Raw genomic sequence first — 14,684 nt, forward strand, 5'->3', positions numbered from 1 at the left:
ACCAGGGTAATGTTGGCCTTGTAGAATGAGTTAGGGAAAATTCTCTCCTCTTCAATATTTTGGAATAATTTTAGGAGAATTATTCTTAGTTTTTCTTTATAAGTTTGGTAGAATTTGGTAGTAAGCCACCCAATCCTGGCTTTTCTTTTTTGGGAGACTTAAAAAAATTACCAATTCAATCTTGTTACTCATTATTAGTCATTTAGATTTTCTATTTCTTCTTGGTTCAATATTGGTAGGTTGTAGATATCCAGGGATTTATCTGTTTCCTCGAGGTTTTCCAGTATGTTAGCATACAGTTGTTTATAAAGGTATCTGATAATCTGTTGTATTTCCATGGTGTAAGTTATAATGTCTCTTTTTTCATTTCTGCTTTTTTCTATTTGGACTTTCTTTTGATCTTGATTAATCTAACTAGTGGTTTATTAATCTTGCTTATCCTTTCAAGAATATAGCTTTCCATTGTGTTGATTCTTTATATATTTTTTTCAGTTTCCATTTCATTTACTTCTGTTCTGTTCTTTATTATTTCTTTCCTTCTGCTAATTTTGGGTTTGGTTTGTTCTTGTTTTTCTAGTTCCTTGAGGTGTTCCTTCTTTTAAAATTCTTTATTCTTTTTTTTTTGTCTGATTGGGTTATTTGAAAAAAAAACCCTGTCTTCCTGTTCCAAAATTCTTTCTTCTGCTTGATGTAGTCTGTTGTTGAAACTCTTGAATGAATTTTTTTCCAACATTTATTTTGTTTCAGGGAGTACATGTACAGGTTTATTACCTGGATATGATGCTGAGGTTTGGGGTATGAATGATTCCATCACATCACTGAGTTACTGAGCATAGTACTTAATAGTTAGTTTTTCAACCTTGGCCCCCTTCCTACCTCCCCCCTCTAGCAGTCCCCAGTTTCTAAAGTTGATATATATATTTTTTGTCCATGAGTACCTAATATTTAGCTCACTTCTATAAGTGGGAACATGTAGTATTTGGTTTTATCTTCTCACATTAATTCACTTAGGAGAATGGCCTCCGGTTGCATCCATGTTACTGCAGAGGACATGACTTCATTCTTTTTTAGGGCTGTGTAGTATTCCATGATGTATATATACTACATTTTCTTTATTCACTTCATCATTGATGAGCACCTAGATTGATTCCACGTCTTTGCTATTGTGAATGGTGCTACAATGAATATGCAAGTGCATGTGTCTTTTTGGTAGGAAGATTTTTTTTGGGGGGGATATATACCGAGTAATGGGATTGCTGGGTCAAATGGTAGTATTAATTTCTTTGAGAAATCTCCAAACTGCTTTTCACAGTGGCTGAACTAATTTACATTCCCACCAACAGTGTACAAATGTTCCCTTTTCTCTGTAGCCTTGCTGGCATCTATTGCTTTTTGCCTTTTTAATAATAGCCATTGAATGGATTTTTAATTTAATTCATATAATTCTTCAGTTTGAGGATTTCTGTTTGGTTCTGTTAATGATATTTACCTTGTTGATGAATTTCTCATTCATATCTTGAATTGTGTTTTTCTGATTTCTTCATATTGTTTATCTGTGTTGTCTTATATCTCACTGAGCTTCTTTAATATCATTATTTTGAACTCCTTTTCTGGTATTTCATAAATCCTTTTGATTGGAATCTATTACTGGAGAATTATTGTGTTCCTTTTGAGTGTCACATTTTCTTGTGTTTTCATGTTTCCATTGATATCCGCATATCTGGTGTGACAGTTGCTTTTTCCCGTTTTAAAATTTCCTTTCACAGGGTAGCACTTTTTTTGTGAAGATGCATCTATGTTGTTGGTTGGGTAGGGTACTTTAGCTTTGATTCTAGGTGCACGCACCAGTGTCATTTCTTCAGCTGTAAGCGGTGTCAGCGGTGTCTGATTTCCTCAATGGCTGAGTCTGCAGTTGTTAGTGAAGGCTGTGATGAGGTTTTGTTGGGGACGAGAAAGCCAGGAAGGCTAGTTCTTGGGCCCTAGTTGTAGCAGTGGCAGCCTGAGCACGCCTGTCCTTGGGCTCTCAGCTGATGCACGTGGACTCCAATGTTAGCAGGTCTAAGTGGGAGATTCTTGGATCTCCATGTGGCTTCCTCAGGTGCTGGCAGTGGCAGTGGTGGGCTGCACCTCAAGGTGGGTTCTGAGGCCTCTGGGCAGTGTGCTTGGTGTGGCAGTGGCTATAGTAGTGGTGGGACAACCCTGAGGCTCCCAGGAGGCCCATGCTTGTGTTACCAGTGGCTGTGATGGGCTGGGCAGGCCAGTCCCCAGGTCCCCACAGTGGCACATGAGGGTGGATGCCACTGTGATGATAGTGGCAGGCTGGGTTGGCCCATCCTCAGACCCCTGGGAGGAGTGCACAGATGCCAGCAGTGGTGGATGGGGTGGGGTGATCCCCAAACCCCTGGGGGATGTGCTTGGGCACTGGAAGAGCAGTGCCAGGCCAGGTGGGCCTCTCCTCTGTATGGGCTGTGGTGGGCAGGGCAGGGTGATTCTCAGACCCCTCAGTGGAGTTTGTGGGTGGCGGCAGCAGTGGTGGTTAGTGAGGAAAGCCCGTCTTCAGGGTATGTGCAAATGCACCACAGCTTTGCTGCTGGGGGAGGGTGGGGTTGCTATTAGTGGCAGCAGCTGCCGTCAGTTGGCTCTTAGGCTCTGGGGAGCATGTGCTTTGGGCCTTGGTGGTGGCTATCATGGTGTCAGTGGTAGCAGTGGGGAGTGGCAGCAGCAGGGAGAGCCAGTTCTCAGGGTGTGTACAAGTGCACTGTGGTTCTCCTGCTGGGGGAGTGGTGGAGGGCGGGGTTGCTGTCAGTGGTAGCAGCCCCAGGGAGGCAGGTTCCAGGCTCTGTGGAGCATGCACTTTGGCTCCCTTCGTTTTAGGGGAGGACTCCTTAGAGTGCTACACTGTCCATTCTCTGGGGTGCAGGACACGGTGTGTGCTAGAGTGCTAGGGCCCCAGCCACTCCACTGGGTCCAACCAGTGTCACACTACTGCAGCCCTCTAGGTGGACATGTGGGGATGTCAGTAGGGCTCCAAAGATGTGGAGATGGAGGGGCTGCTGGGCCCAAGGGCAGGATGCAGTCTGGTGAAGCTGGACTCTCAAACTGGCTCTGTGCTGCAGTTGCCTGGGACTTGGGTGTGTGTGTAGGACGCAGTGTGAGCTCCCTATCTGGAGCAATGCCACTGCACAGTCCAGGCAGCTCCCTATACTAGTCTCAGGGCCTTGCGAGGGCTGGGGGTTCTCCCATGGCTAGGGCTGCAGGATTCCATGGTGGAAATGTAGACTACTGGGGATCTCTCACTTACCCTTTCCCCATAGTGGAGACCCTCTCTGGGCTCCCAACCAATCCCGCTCAGCAGGCTGCCTGGTTTCCATCTCCTTCCATGCCTTGGGTGTTTCCTGTCTGTCACTTCTCTGTTGAACTCCAATGGCCTTCCCTGTATTTGAAGTGTGATTTTCTTCTTGCTATTTTGGTTCCTCTTTGTGGAGGAGGTGAGTGCTGGATGCCTCTCATCAGCCATCCTGAAGCCCCTCTGGTTATTTATATTCTTTAGCTTTCAATTTTTTCAACTAGAAATTGAGGCTAATGATACCACAGTAAAGACGGCCATGAGAATGTAATAGCATAATTGTGGAAATCACTTAGCCCAAGTCCAGAAGTTTGGTAAGCACTCAGTAAATGGTTGCTATTGTGATGGTTCTAGGAATTTTATAAGACACAACTTTTGGGTATGTAAACATTTCCCCCTGAGAGCACAAGACAGTGGAGTGGCAGTTTATGTCAACTGAGGATGAAAAAGGGCTCTGCTTCATTACTCACTACTGAGGCATTTATGAGCCTGCCCCTTCACTTCTAACCTCCCTGTTTCCTCTGGCAGAAGGGCCCAGAATCGGGATAAGCTGAATTGGAAAATCCAGCAATAGGAAGAAGAGATGGCTGCTGCTGTTCCTGGATCTAGAAAGGAGAGAAGCTACTCAGGGAGCTCTTGATCCTATGCTCAGGGGGAAACATACCAGGAAATTACAGGTGGGTTGCTCATTTATGTTCAGGTTAATGATGTAACCCTTAGAGATTGCTTGAGTTGCTTTCGCAACAGGTACACACTCTCCTCAGTTCGTAATCACTTTTTTGGAATGTTGATTGTATAAAGCATAAACATAACCCTTTGCCACTTTCAAGCACTCCACGAATATTAACTAATTAATCCATTTCATAAAACAGGAGGTTTTTGGCTCCGTCTTGGCAGCCTAACTTTCCAGTCTCAATAACAGTTAGTCACAGAGCCAAGGGACACATTTTATTAACCTTATTAACATACTTTTTTTAAGACTAGAATTCCAGATGTAGAAAGGAACAGCCAAACTCAGCTTGCCTCAACTGACCACCAGCTGGGGGCTTCTGCCTCTGCTCTTGTAATAGCATTATTAGAGCTCTTCATCTGCTAATCCCCAGAAAGAGGGTATTGTGGTGTGAGGCAGAGAATCCCGGACTTGGATTCCATAGACAAGGAGATTTTAAAAAAGAAAAATTAGTTTTCTAAGTGAGGTATGTAAAAGCCCCTATTATCTTTTGTCACTATCATTTCATAAAAAAGGCAGGACATTTTTTTCTTTTTTATTATACTTTAAGTTCTAGGGTACATGTGCACAAAGTGCAGGTTTGTTACATATGTATACATGTGCCATGCTGGTGCGCTGCACACGTTAACTCGTCATTTACAACAGGTCCCGGTGTGTGATGCTCCCCTTCCTGTGTCCAAGTGTTCTCATTGCTCAATTCCCACCTATGAGTGAGAACATGCGGTGTTTGGTTTTCTGTCCTTGCGATAGTTTGCTTAGAATGATGGTTTCCAGCTTCATCCACGTCCCTACAAAGGACATGAACTCATCCTTTTTTATGGCTGCATAGTATTCCATGGTGTATATGTGCTACATTTTCTTAAGCCAGTCTATCATTGATGGACATTTAGGTTGGTTCCAAGTCTTTGCTATTGTGAGTAGTGCTGCAATAAACATACGTGTGCATATGTCTTTATAGCAGCATGATTTATAATCCTTTGGGTATATACCCAGTAATGGGATGGCTGGGTCAAATGGTATTTCTAGTTCTAGATCCCTGAGGAATCGCCACACTGTCTTCCACAATGGTTGAACTAGTTTACAGTCCCACCAACAGTGTCAAAGTGTTCCTATTTCTCCACATCCTCTCCAGCACCTGTTGTTTCCTGACTTTTTAATGATTGCCATTCTAACTGGTGTGAGATGGTATCTCACTGTGGTTTTGATTTGCATTTCTCTGATGGCCAGTGATGCCAGTGATGATGAGCATTTTTTCATGTGTCTGTTGGCTGCATAAATGTCTTCTTTTGAGAAGTGCCTGTTCATATTCTTTGCCCACTTTTTGATGGGGTTGTTTGATTATTTCTTGTAAATTTGTTTAAGTTCTTTGTAGATTCTAGATATTAGCCCTTTGTCAGATGGGTAGATTGTAAAAATTTTCTCCCATTCTGTAGGTTGCCTGTTCACTCTGATGGTAGTTTCTTTTGCTGTGCAGAAGCTCTTTAATTTAATTAGATCCCATTTGTCTATTTTGGCTTTTGTTGCCATTGCTTTTGGTGTTTTAGTCATGTAGTCCTTTCCCATGCCTATGTCCTGAATGGTATTGCCTAGGTTTTCTTCTAGGGTTTTTATGGTTTTAGGTCTAACATTTAAGTCTTTAATCCATCTTGAATCAATTTTAGTATAAGGTGTAAGGAAGGGATCCAGTTTCAGCTTTCTCCATATGGCTAGCCAGTTTTCCCAGCACCAAAGGCAGGAAATTTTAACAGAACAAAATAAGGAAGATACTCTTGGGGTATAGGACACCTTTAAAAAGAGTGTGTTCAGCTTCCTGGAAATCTACATTGTGTTTTCTCCTATTTGCCTCCAACAGTTCCTCATAGACTGGGCCTGGTAAGTGGGTTAGGAGTGGACCATTGGGAGAGGCCCATACCTTAGTGGTCCTGGTACCCACTTAGCCCTAGAAGGACAGGGGCCAGGGCTATTTTATCAGTATACCTTGTGCTTCATGTAATGCTTAGCACATACTAGGGACGTAATAAATATTTGTTGAACAAAGTAATAAATATGATTGTCTGTGATCTTTTCCAAGTCACAGCATGGCTGGGGCTCAGATCTGTACAATTAGATCTGTGCAATCTTATCTGTACAATTGGAGGAGTCATATTACATGGCATCCAACTTCCTTTCCATTCAAACAAACAAACAAACAAACAAACAAACAAAAATCTGGATTTAGAAAGCATTAGTAGAGTGTTTTTGGTTCCTTTTCTGTTTTTAAGGATAATTCAACTTTTTGGACCACGATGACTTTTTCGGAGGTCCGTTGCAATGTTTGTCTACCAAATGAAGGCATTGACTCTTTATAGGGAAATCTTGCTTTTCATCGGCCACAGTTGAGGAAGGGACCCTTGAAAACTGAGTGGTTACTTTGAAAAAATAAGTGTTGGGGGATGAGGGAAGCCTATTATAATTTTTATTTAGAGGCCTAGGAATCAACATTAAACAGCTGTTTTGTTTTTTTCTTTTCCTAGACAGCATTTCTGAAAAAGGTACTTTCATTACCTGCTTTGTTATTATTATTTTTAAGTGTCCCATGGTCACTATATGTAATTGAGTTTGAAGGTCTGATAAATCTTTGATGAATAATACAACAGTCCCCCTAGCTTATACATATTTCAAAGCCAGTTAAATCCCAGGAGCCGGCAGCAGGCGAAGGGTTGAATACACATTATGTGTCTCCTTCCACATTCCTACTCAATCCACTCTCTTTAGTGGAAAGCTTCTTTTTGTCATGATCAGCCAGAGGTGAAGAATGAAGAAGAGATGGATTTTCATTAAGAATAGAGCTTTGTATAAAATTTCTTCATCTGTCTGAACATCTGATAGGAGCAGGGCTTTGAAAATCATCTCAGATCAGATTCTATATGCATTTTGATTTTGAATGATGCTGAGTTATGCGAACATCTTCCCTAGTTATGGCTAATGTTTAGCTAAAAAAGAATTCTTCAGACAACATTAATATGAGTTGTCTGCTTCCTAAAACAATAACCAAGGTCTGCATCCTGTGTGTTTCTTTGGGAATATAGGTAATTCATTTTTCAATTAGGAAATTTCATATGCCTTAAAGGTTTTTTTTATTAACATTTCACGGCATTGTTTCTAGCTCAGATATGGATAGAACCTAATGACACTCTTATTTGGCATTAGAGAGGTTAACTAGATATTATGACATCTTCATTCTATTGTTTCAAGTGGAAGAGCTGTTCATTTAGATAGAAATTGAGAGTATTTTTTAAAAATGCGATCTATCATTTTGGTGCTGTTTTTTTTTTTTTTTTTTTTTTTTTTTTAATGGCGTCTCACTCTGTTGCCCAGGCTGGAGTGCAGTGGCGCAATCTTGGCTCACTGCGACCTCTGCCTCCTCGGTTCAAGTGATTCTCCTGCCTCAGCCTCGATAGTAGCTGGGATAACAGGCACGTGCCACCACTCCTGGCTAATTTTTGCATTTTGTTTTAGTAGAGATGGAGTTTCACCATGTTGACCAGGCTGGTCTCCAACTCCTGACCTCAGGTGATCTGCCCACCTCGGCCTCCCAGAATGTTGGGATTACAGGCATGAGCCACGGTGCCTGGCTGGTGCTATTTCTCTAAGACAGAATGAGGCTTCCTGTTTGCAGAGAATGTCCAGCCTATCCTGTGTCACTCTACTCCCAAGGGAAGCCTGGCTCCACCCTTGATGGCTTTCACTTGGCTTGGTGCTAGACTACTCTTGGACACATTTTTCCCAAGCTGGGATGAGAACCCAACCTCTATTGATGTCACTATAGACTCTGATCTGTGAGTGTATTTGTGAATGTGAGGGAGATAGAAAATCACCACTGGGCTTCCCTTTTCCCTGCTCAGCTGACTTCTGCATCCACATGCCCTCTCCTCTATTCTCATGCATTTTGTGAGGTGGTTTGTGAAAGCCAGTGTGAAGTCTGAGGTGTTTACCATTGCTGGAGGGGACGTTGTGGGTAACAGAGGAGCTCTTTGATTCAGTTTCCAAAGTTGGCTGTACTATTTGCTTGCTATGCAAACTCAAATAAGTTACTTGGCTGCTCTCAACCTCAGTTTGATCATCTGTAAATTTGGAATAAACATATGTACTTTTTGGGATGAAGACTGAGCCCTCTAATCAGAACCAGAATCACCTATGTTTTCATGGTCCTAAGAAATTCCTTTCCCCGGATGTGTAAGCTAAAATTCTGTTGATGATTAACATGAAACTATGACTTGCTGGCTCTTTGAAGCCCTGCTCCTATGAGGACGTGTGAACTTCATGCTAGAATTAAGACAGCTCAGCAGGAGGATGGAGTTTTAAAAATGTCCCCATTGAAGTCTCCATGATTTCATTTACAGTCTGCTCAAGCAATCTGGAGCTGGGAGAAACTTCTTCTTTACTAAAGATTCCCACATTCAACCCACCCTAAAGCAGAAAGAAAGTTCTGCATTAAGTTTTCCTGGCTGCTGTGAAGTGCAGCACAGCCATGGGTGGGAATAGAACAAAGACAATGAAAGCTGGAAAATGCTGTTCTTATCGATGTTCAGGCACAATTAGGTTTGTTCCTCGCCACCTCTGCCACGGGGCTTCCTGTCATTGGTGGGTTGCACCTTCCTCCCCTTCTTCCACCACCGAGAAAGTCCTGACAGGGTTGAAGCAGGGAGAAAAGGGAAATAAGTTTTTATTTTTATTAAAAAATAGCTCTAGGTGAATTATTAAGATTGTGAAATAATTAATTGAAAGTTCTTTGGAATTCCTTTTGGTATTTTATGAAAAAATGATTAAAAGGCCAAATTTTCTTCACAGATGACAACTTAGATAAAGCATTTGTGTTTATTTTTGAACCCACATTGGCCGTTACTCCATAGAACAAACTGTCATGGCATTAACCCCACTTCTACAAGCCTATACCCACTGTTTGGGTAGTTGCGGCCAGAAATGGAGCCCCAGGCCTTTCAGGATTATTCAGGTAGATTTGGTGTTTGAAGTCACTGGGAATTTAATAGGCTGGATGGCTAAACTGGGGAAGGTGGCTATTTGGTCTTCTTGGTGTACTGAGTATTATTTTGTGAGATAAGGTTATTTAGACAACAATATATTTTTGCCTGTTATAAGCAACAATAATAACTACCAATTTCAATGGCAAATAAAATAGCAGCTAAAAGTGCTTACTTTGTGCTAGGCACTCGTGCTGAGTGCTGTGTAATTCATTTCCTCCTCTCTTTGTTCTTTTCTTTTTCTTTCTTTCTTTTTTTTTTTGAGACAGAGTGTTACTTTGTCACTCAGGCTGAAGTGCAGTGGCACAGTCATAGCTCACTGCATCCTCAGACTCCTGGACTCAAGGGCTCCTCCCATCTTAGCCTCCGGAGTCATTAGAACTATAGGTACAAGCCACCATACCAGGCTAATTTCTTACTTTTTATTTTTGTGGAGATGGGGTTTGGCTATGTTGCCTAGCCTGGTCTTAACTCCTGGCCTAAAGCAATCTTTTTGCCTCAGCCTCCCAGAGTGTTGAGATGACAGGTGTGAGTCACTGCACCCAATCTCAATAATTTATTTCTAACAATCCATTATAATAATTCATTTAATTCTTCTAGTAACTCTACTTTTATCCCCATTTAACAGACGAGGAACCCTAGGTTTGGAGATGCTAAGTTGCGGAGCTTTTGATCACGCAGCCAACCAGTGACACAGTTTGGGCCCTGGCAGTGTGCTGTCATACCTACATTCTTTAAGTACTATTTAGGTTTCCAGCGATTTTATGTAAGCTGGCTTGAATTAATTTTCCCTAATTTTGTCTGAATAACTTTTAGCCACATAGCTAAATTTTACTGTAGATTCCCTGGTATTTTCCAGTGTTCAATCCTCCAGATTCTTAAATGTTATTGTTAAGTGTAGAAAAATGGATAGACACTGATTTAGCCATCCCATTAGATCTGCAACTTCCGTAAAATTTTCATCTCAATCCAGAGTAAGAATTACATTTTTACAATATGATCTAGTACAGACATACCTATATGTGTAATTAAAACATGACTGCCGCTTTACCCTTACTAAGTGGGACATGTTCTTATATTGTTCTATTCCATTCCATTTCTGTTCCATTTTATTAAAAACAGGTCTCTAGAGAGAGACTAAATTTCATTTCTCACTAGTGGGTCAGAGCCCACACTTTTGAAAAACAGTTCTTTAGCTGGGTAACTTTCGCCATTCTTTAGAAATTGTCTGCACAGTGCGATGTGCAGCATTTCAGCATCCCTCTAGATAATTTTTCAAATTGTGAGGAATTGCCAAGGTGAAATTGGCAGTAACGGACCCTGAGAAAGGTTGCATTCTCTCTCTGAAAAAGGTCAAGACTATAAACCTGGCTTGCTTTGGAGCACTGAAAACTTCAGCCTTAGAAACAGGGTCCCAGCAGAATAATTCTTAGCATGGCACGAAGTCCAATGAGCCAGTGAATAAAGGCTTGGAAGCCTGTTCTATGTGGGGCAAGGGTTCTTTCAGAGTGTTCAAGGATACAAGTAACCTTGGATTTTTAATAGTTCCTTAAGCAGAAAGTCACCTCTCACCCTTCGGCAGCACGTTGACGAGAACTCAAGTGTCTCATGGAGCTTGCTGGGTTGGATTCAGCTGCTGAGAAATGCTGCGGTTGTTGACTTGCTAGTTATCATGATGTCATGGGCGAGCTGTCACTAGCAAGCATGATCACAGTGAGGCATAAAAGGGAAAGGGAAAAAATACAACAGTTGGGCACAGTCTTTTTTGAAATTCTCAGGCACCAGTTTTTTGTTTATTTCTTATTTCTCTGTTTGGGTGTAATGAAAAAGGGCTTAATACTACTAGCTAGTTACCATTTATCTAATGTCAACTGCAGCCTCAGTACTTGCTCATTGTCTTATGTGGATTGCCTCATTAGGACTTAGAGAAACCTAATTGGGTAAATTATTATTCCTGTCATTTTAACAATGTGAACACTGAGGTTTAGAAAAGCCAAGTAACTTTGCAAAGATTATATAGTTAGTAAGTCATGGACATGGGATGGAACCAAGACAATCTGGATCTAAAGTTTGCACTATGGACAACCAAACTTCAATCTGACGATTTGGCTTCTCTCCTTGGTGACTGGGAGGTGAGTTTCACAGGGAGGGAGGAGAGGTTGGTGTGGGAGGTGTCTGTCTGAGGTGACAGGGACTCAGTCTTTCTTTCTGTATGTGTGCATCATCTTTTCTATACGTGGTGCTGGGGGTGTCTACTGTCCTGCTAGTGAAACTTCCAGTCTCTTGTTCTTCCAGATTCTCAGTGTTTCTGGAACAGGTGAACATTTTTGGATGCTGATACTCAAGTGCTTGGAATTAGTAGTACTTTGATGGACTGTAAAGGTGGCCAAGGAAAGATCTGGAAAGCAGATATGGCATTCAGGGCGGCTGGGTCTCTGAGGAGCATGCCTGGAAGCTGGCAAAGTGAAATGATCTGGATGATCTGGCAAAGCACAGGGACACAGCAGTGGGTGACAGATGATGGAAATATGCCGGAAAGCTTGAAGACAGGGAGTGGCAACTGGGAGGGCTGAGCAGGCAAGAGTGGAAGAGCCCAGCCCTGTGCTCAGATTCTGGGACTAGACTTCAGTTCCTAAGAGGCATCGTAAAGGCAGGTGAGCACCGTTGATAGAAGAACTGAACACTACTCCAGCTTGAACATTAGTCTATGGATCCTTAAATTCTCTTTGAGTAGTAACAGAATTGGCCAAGTATTAGCCTAATCTTACAGCCGAGGGCTAATTCGTTCTAAATGTGGAAATGGAAACTTTGGGGATAGCATGCTTTGCTGTCATTATGTTGAAAAAGGAGACACAAATGACTTTGCCCAAAGAAACATTTCTGCTGAGCAAAATGCGCCAGGAGGCAAGGTTAAATGTTAAAAGTAAAAATGTTATGAAAGAAAAAAAAATCCAGTAGTTTTGCGTTTTTTTTTTTTTTTTTTTTTTTGAGACAAAGTCTTGCTCTGTCGCCCAGGCTGGAGTGCAGTGGCGCGATCTTGGCTCACCGCAACCTCTGCCTCCTGGGTTGGAGCAATTCTCCTGCCTCAGCCTTCCGAATAGCTGGGATTACAGGTGTGTACCACCACACCCGGCTAATTTTTGTATTTTTAGTAGAGACGGGGTTTCACCATGTTGACCAGGCTGGTCTTGAACTCCTGACCTCAGGTGATCCACCCACCTCGGCCTCCCAAAGTGCTGGGATTACAGGCATGAGCCACCATGCCAGGCTGATTTTTTTTTTTTTTTTGAAAGGAATGACAATGTCCTGGCAGGGACTGAAAAATAACTGTGTGTGTGTGTCTGTGTGTGTGTCTGTGTGTGTGTGTGTGTTTGTGTGTATGCAGGAGGATGTAAGGAACTGGGAAAGTGATTAGGAAGCTTTTCCTGAAAAGACAGCCTCCAAACCATTTGAAAGTGAGAACAGCAACAATAACTATGATTTAATAATCATTAACTTTTTAAAGTATACTCAATGAATGCAGAAGATTAAATTATTTTAAGAGATTTGAAATTATTTCAACTTATTTGGCTGCTGTGTATTTCATTTTGTGGCCTAGGGCAAATGACTATGCAAACTCCAGTTGTAATTCTTTGAAAGGAAGTGGATAGTTGGACACTGATGAATGATACTATGCTCTTTGGCTCACCATTAGAATTATATCACCACGTGCTCTCTCCCCGGCTCTCGGCGGTGCTCCCTTAGCTTCTTATCAGAATCCTGTGGGAAAGATCCTGGATCAAACATTTCTATTGTGGAGAAGATTCCATCAAGAGTGCTTTTCACTTGTTCTTTATTTTATTTTACTTTTTCCCAAGAAGATGGCCACACACAGAGAGAATCATGCTTTTAATTCGTAGAGGAACATTGCCACCTGGATGAAAAATTACATTCTGAAGGCTCAATAAATGAGTTTTATTTCCAACTTTGCTTGTGACTCACTCTCTAAGATGCTTTTTCTACATCTGTGAAATGGAACAATTAATTTCCACCTGTGTCACAGTAGTGATAGAAAAAATGTGTTACAAAATACCTGCAGTATACTTCCAGCTTATTTTGGAGGAATATAAAATATTACCATTATGTGGAATTGATAAAGCTTAGTACACAAGTGTGAATTTTTATAGCATTACAGCATGATACATGGAGAAGAAACGGACAAATTTAGATTACAATATATACTGACATAGATTCTCTGGATAATAAAATAATTTCCCAAAAGAAACTTTGAGAATCAAGAACAAAATAAATATTTATATACAGTATTCACAAATTCTTAAATATTCTTAGCAAGAATACCCTAGGCCAGTATTTTCCAAACTGTATTTATAATGCTGTTTTTATAGTTTATTATAATACATTGCATGAGAAATTAAAAGGTAGTCAATGAAGAATATGTTTGGTGCTCAAATAAGTTTGAGAAATGCTAGGTTGAATAAACAAAGTTTAACAGATTTCTCTCTGTGCATTTTACCTTTCCAAAAGTGAGGAATGGTTTGTAGCATTTCAAAACTTCTTTGACAAGGGAATACAGTTGGGAAAAAGTTGTTATGGACCAGAAATAAATGTAAATACACTTATGTTTAAAATGACTGCTCAGTTTTTGGTTGCTTAAGTGTCCTTGGTAATTAGTGATACTGAGATTAAATTATCTTGCTACTTTTGTATACTCGCTGTTAATTTAAAAATAATATATTAATATCTGTTAATAATTGTGAGATTTTTAACAGCCTGACCACATACATATGTGAGGATACTGACTATATGATATATAATTCTATTTTTATGTCCACAAATATTCTATATATTTATATAAATTATATATATTCTATTTATACATACATGCAAAATTATATGATTCTATTTATGATTAAATATATGATTCTGTTTATATAGATTATATATGTGTATACATGCATATATGAAGAGGGTATAATCCTATTGAGTTGTTTTCTGGGCCTCCTTTCTGTCCATGTTCAAATTTATCCTTCCTTTTCTGTGTGTTTATAAATCGTATAGAAATGGGAAGTAGAGGATTTTAGGGGAAGAAGCAATAAGTATTATTAATGGAAGCCTCATAAGTCATGCAGGTTATGTTACTTTCTTAATTGTGAGGTATTAAAAAAATCACTTTTTGCTCCTTGAAATTAAAGAAAACTGCAAAAAGCCATGATATTCAAGGTTGTTTCAGAAAGTAATAATAGACCTGTCAAGGAACATTAAGATCCTAAAATATTCTGTCATTAGATGTTGTCTGTATTTGGAAAGGGTTATGAAAGCTCTGGCTGGAGAAAAATGTTTTTGACTTGGCTCTTTGGAGACTTGCTGGTTGAAGTAGCTACGAAATTTAACAGCGACCCCTGGAGGCTAGCATCGGAACTGTCACCGGCATAATTTCGTTGTTTTTAACTTTTCAGTTAAAAAACTTTTAACTTTTCAGTTAAAAAAGAAAGCAAGCGTTCTTTGGCTGTCTCTGTGCCGGATGCAGAGGGCACAACTGCTCTGTGGCACAGCCCTCTGTGATCGGCCGCGTGAGGGTCCTGTCATC

General features: G+C 40.8%; 1 long non-coding RNA gene across 1 annotated transcript in view, besides 2 other annotated features; it reads left to right on the top strand.

Annotated features, from left to right (window-relative positions):
• Positions 2,081 to 2,655: an enhancer, noted in NCBI's record as "H3K4me1 hESC enhancer chr18:949337-949911 (GRCh37/hg19 assembly coordinates)". NCBI's record gives its function as "activates a minimal SCP1, AML or CMV promoter by ChIP-STARR-seq in naive H9 embryonic stem cells {active_cell/tissue: H9 hESC(naive)}" and the evidence as "EXISTENCE:reporter gene assay evidence [ECO:0000049][PMID:30033119]".
• Positions 2,656 to 3,229: an enhancer, noted in NCBI's record as "H3K4me1 hESC enhancer chr18:949912-950485 (GRCh37/hg19 assembly coordinates)". NCBI's record gives its function as "activates a minimal SCP1, AML or CMV promoter by ChIP-STARR-seq in naive H9 embryonic stem cells {active_cell/tissue: H9 hESC(naive)}" and the evidence as "EXISTENCE:reporter gene assay evidence [ECO:0000049][PMID:30033119]".
• The window catches only part of LOC107985165 (uncharacterized), a 110,408-nt gene continuing 99,597 nt past the window's right edge, over positions 3,874 to 14,684 (top strand). The window contains exon 1 of the long non-coding RNA XR_001753317.1: positions 3,874 to 4,023. This is a non-coding gene — a long non-coding RNA (uncharacterized LOC107985165). The remainder of the gene's footprint in view (positions 4,024 to 14,684) is intronic.

Source organism: Homo sapiens, chromosome 18, assembly GCF_000001405.40.
Source record: "Homo sapiens chromosome 18, GRCh38.p14 Primary Assembly".
NCBI classification, from domain to species: domain Eukaryota; kingdom Metazoa; phylum Chordata; class Mammalia; order Primates; family Hominidae; genus Homo; species Homo sapiens.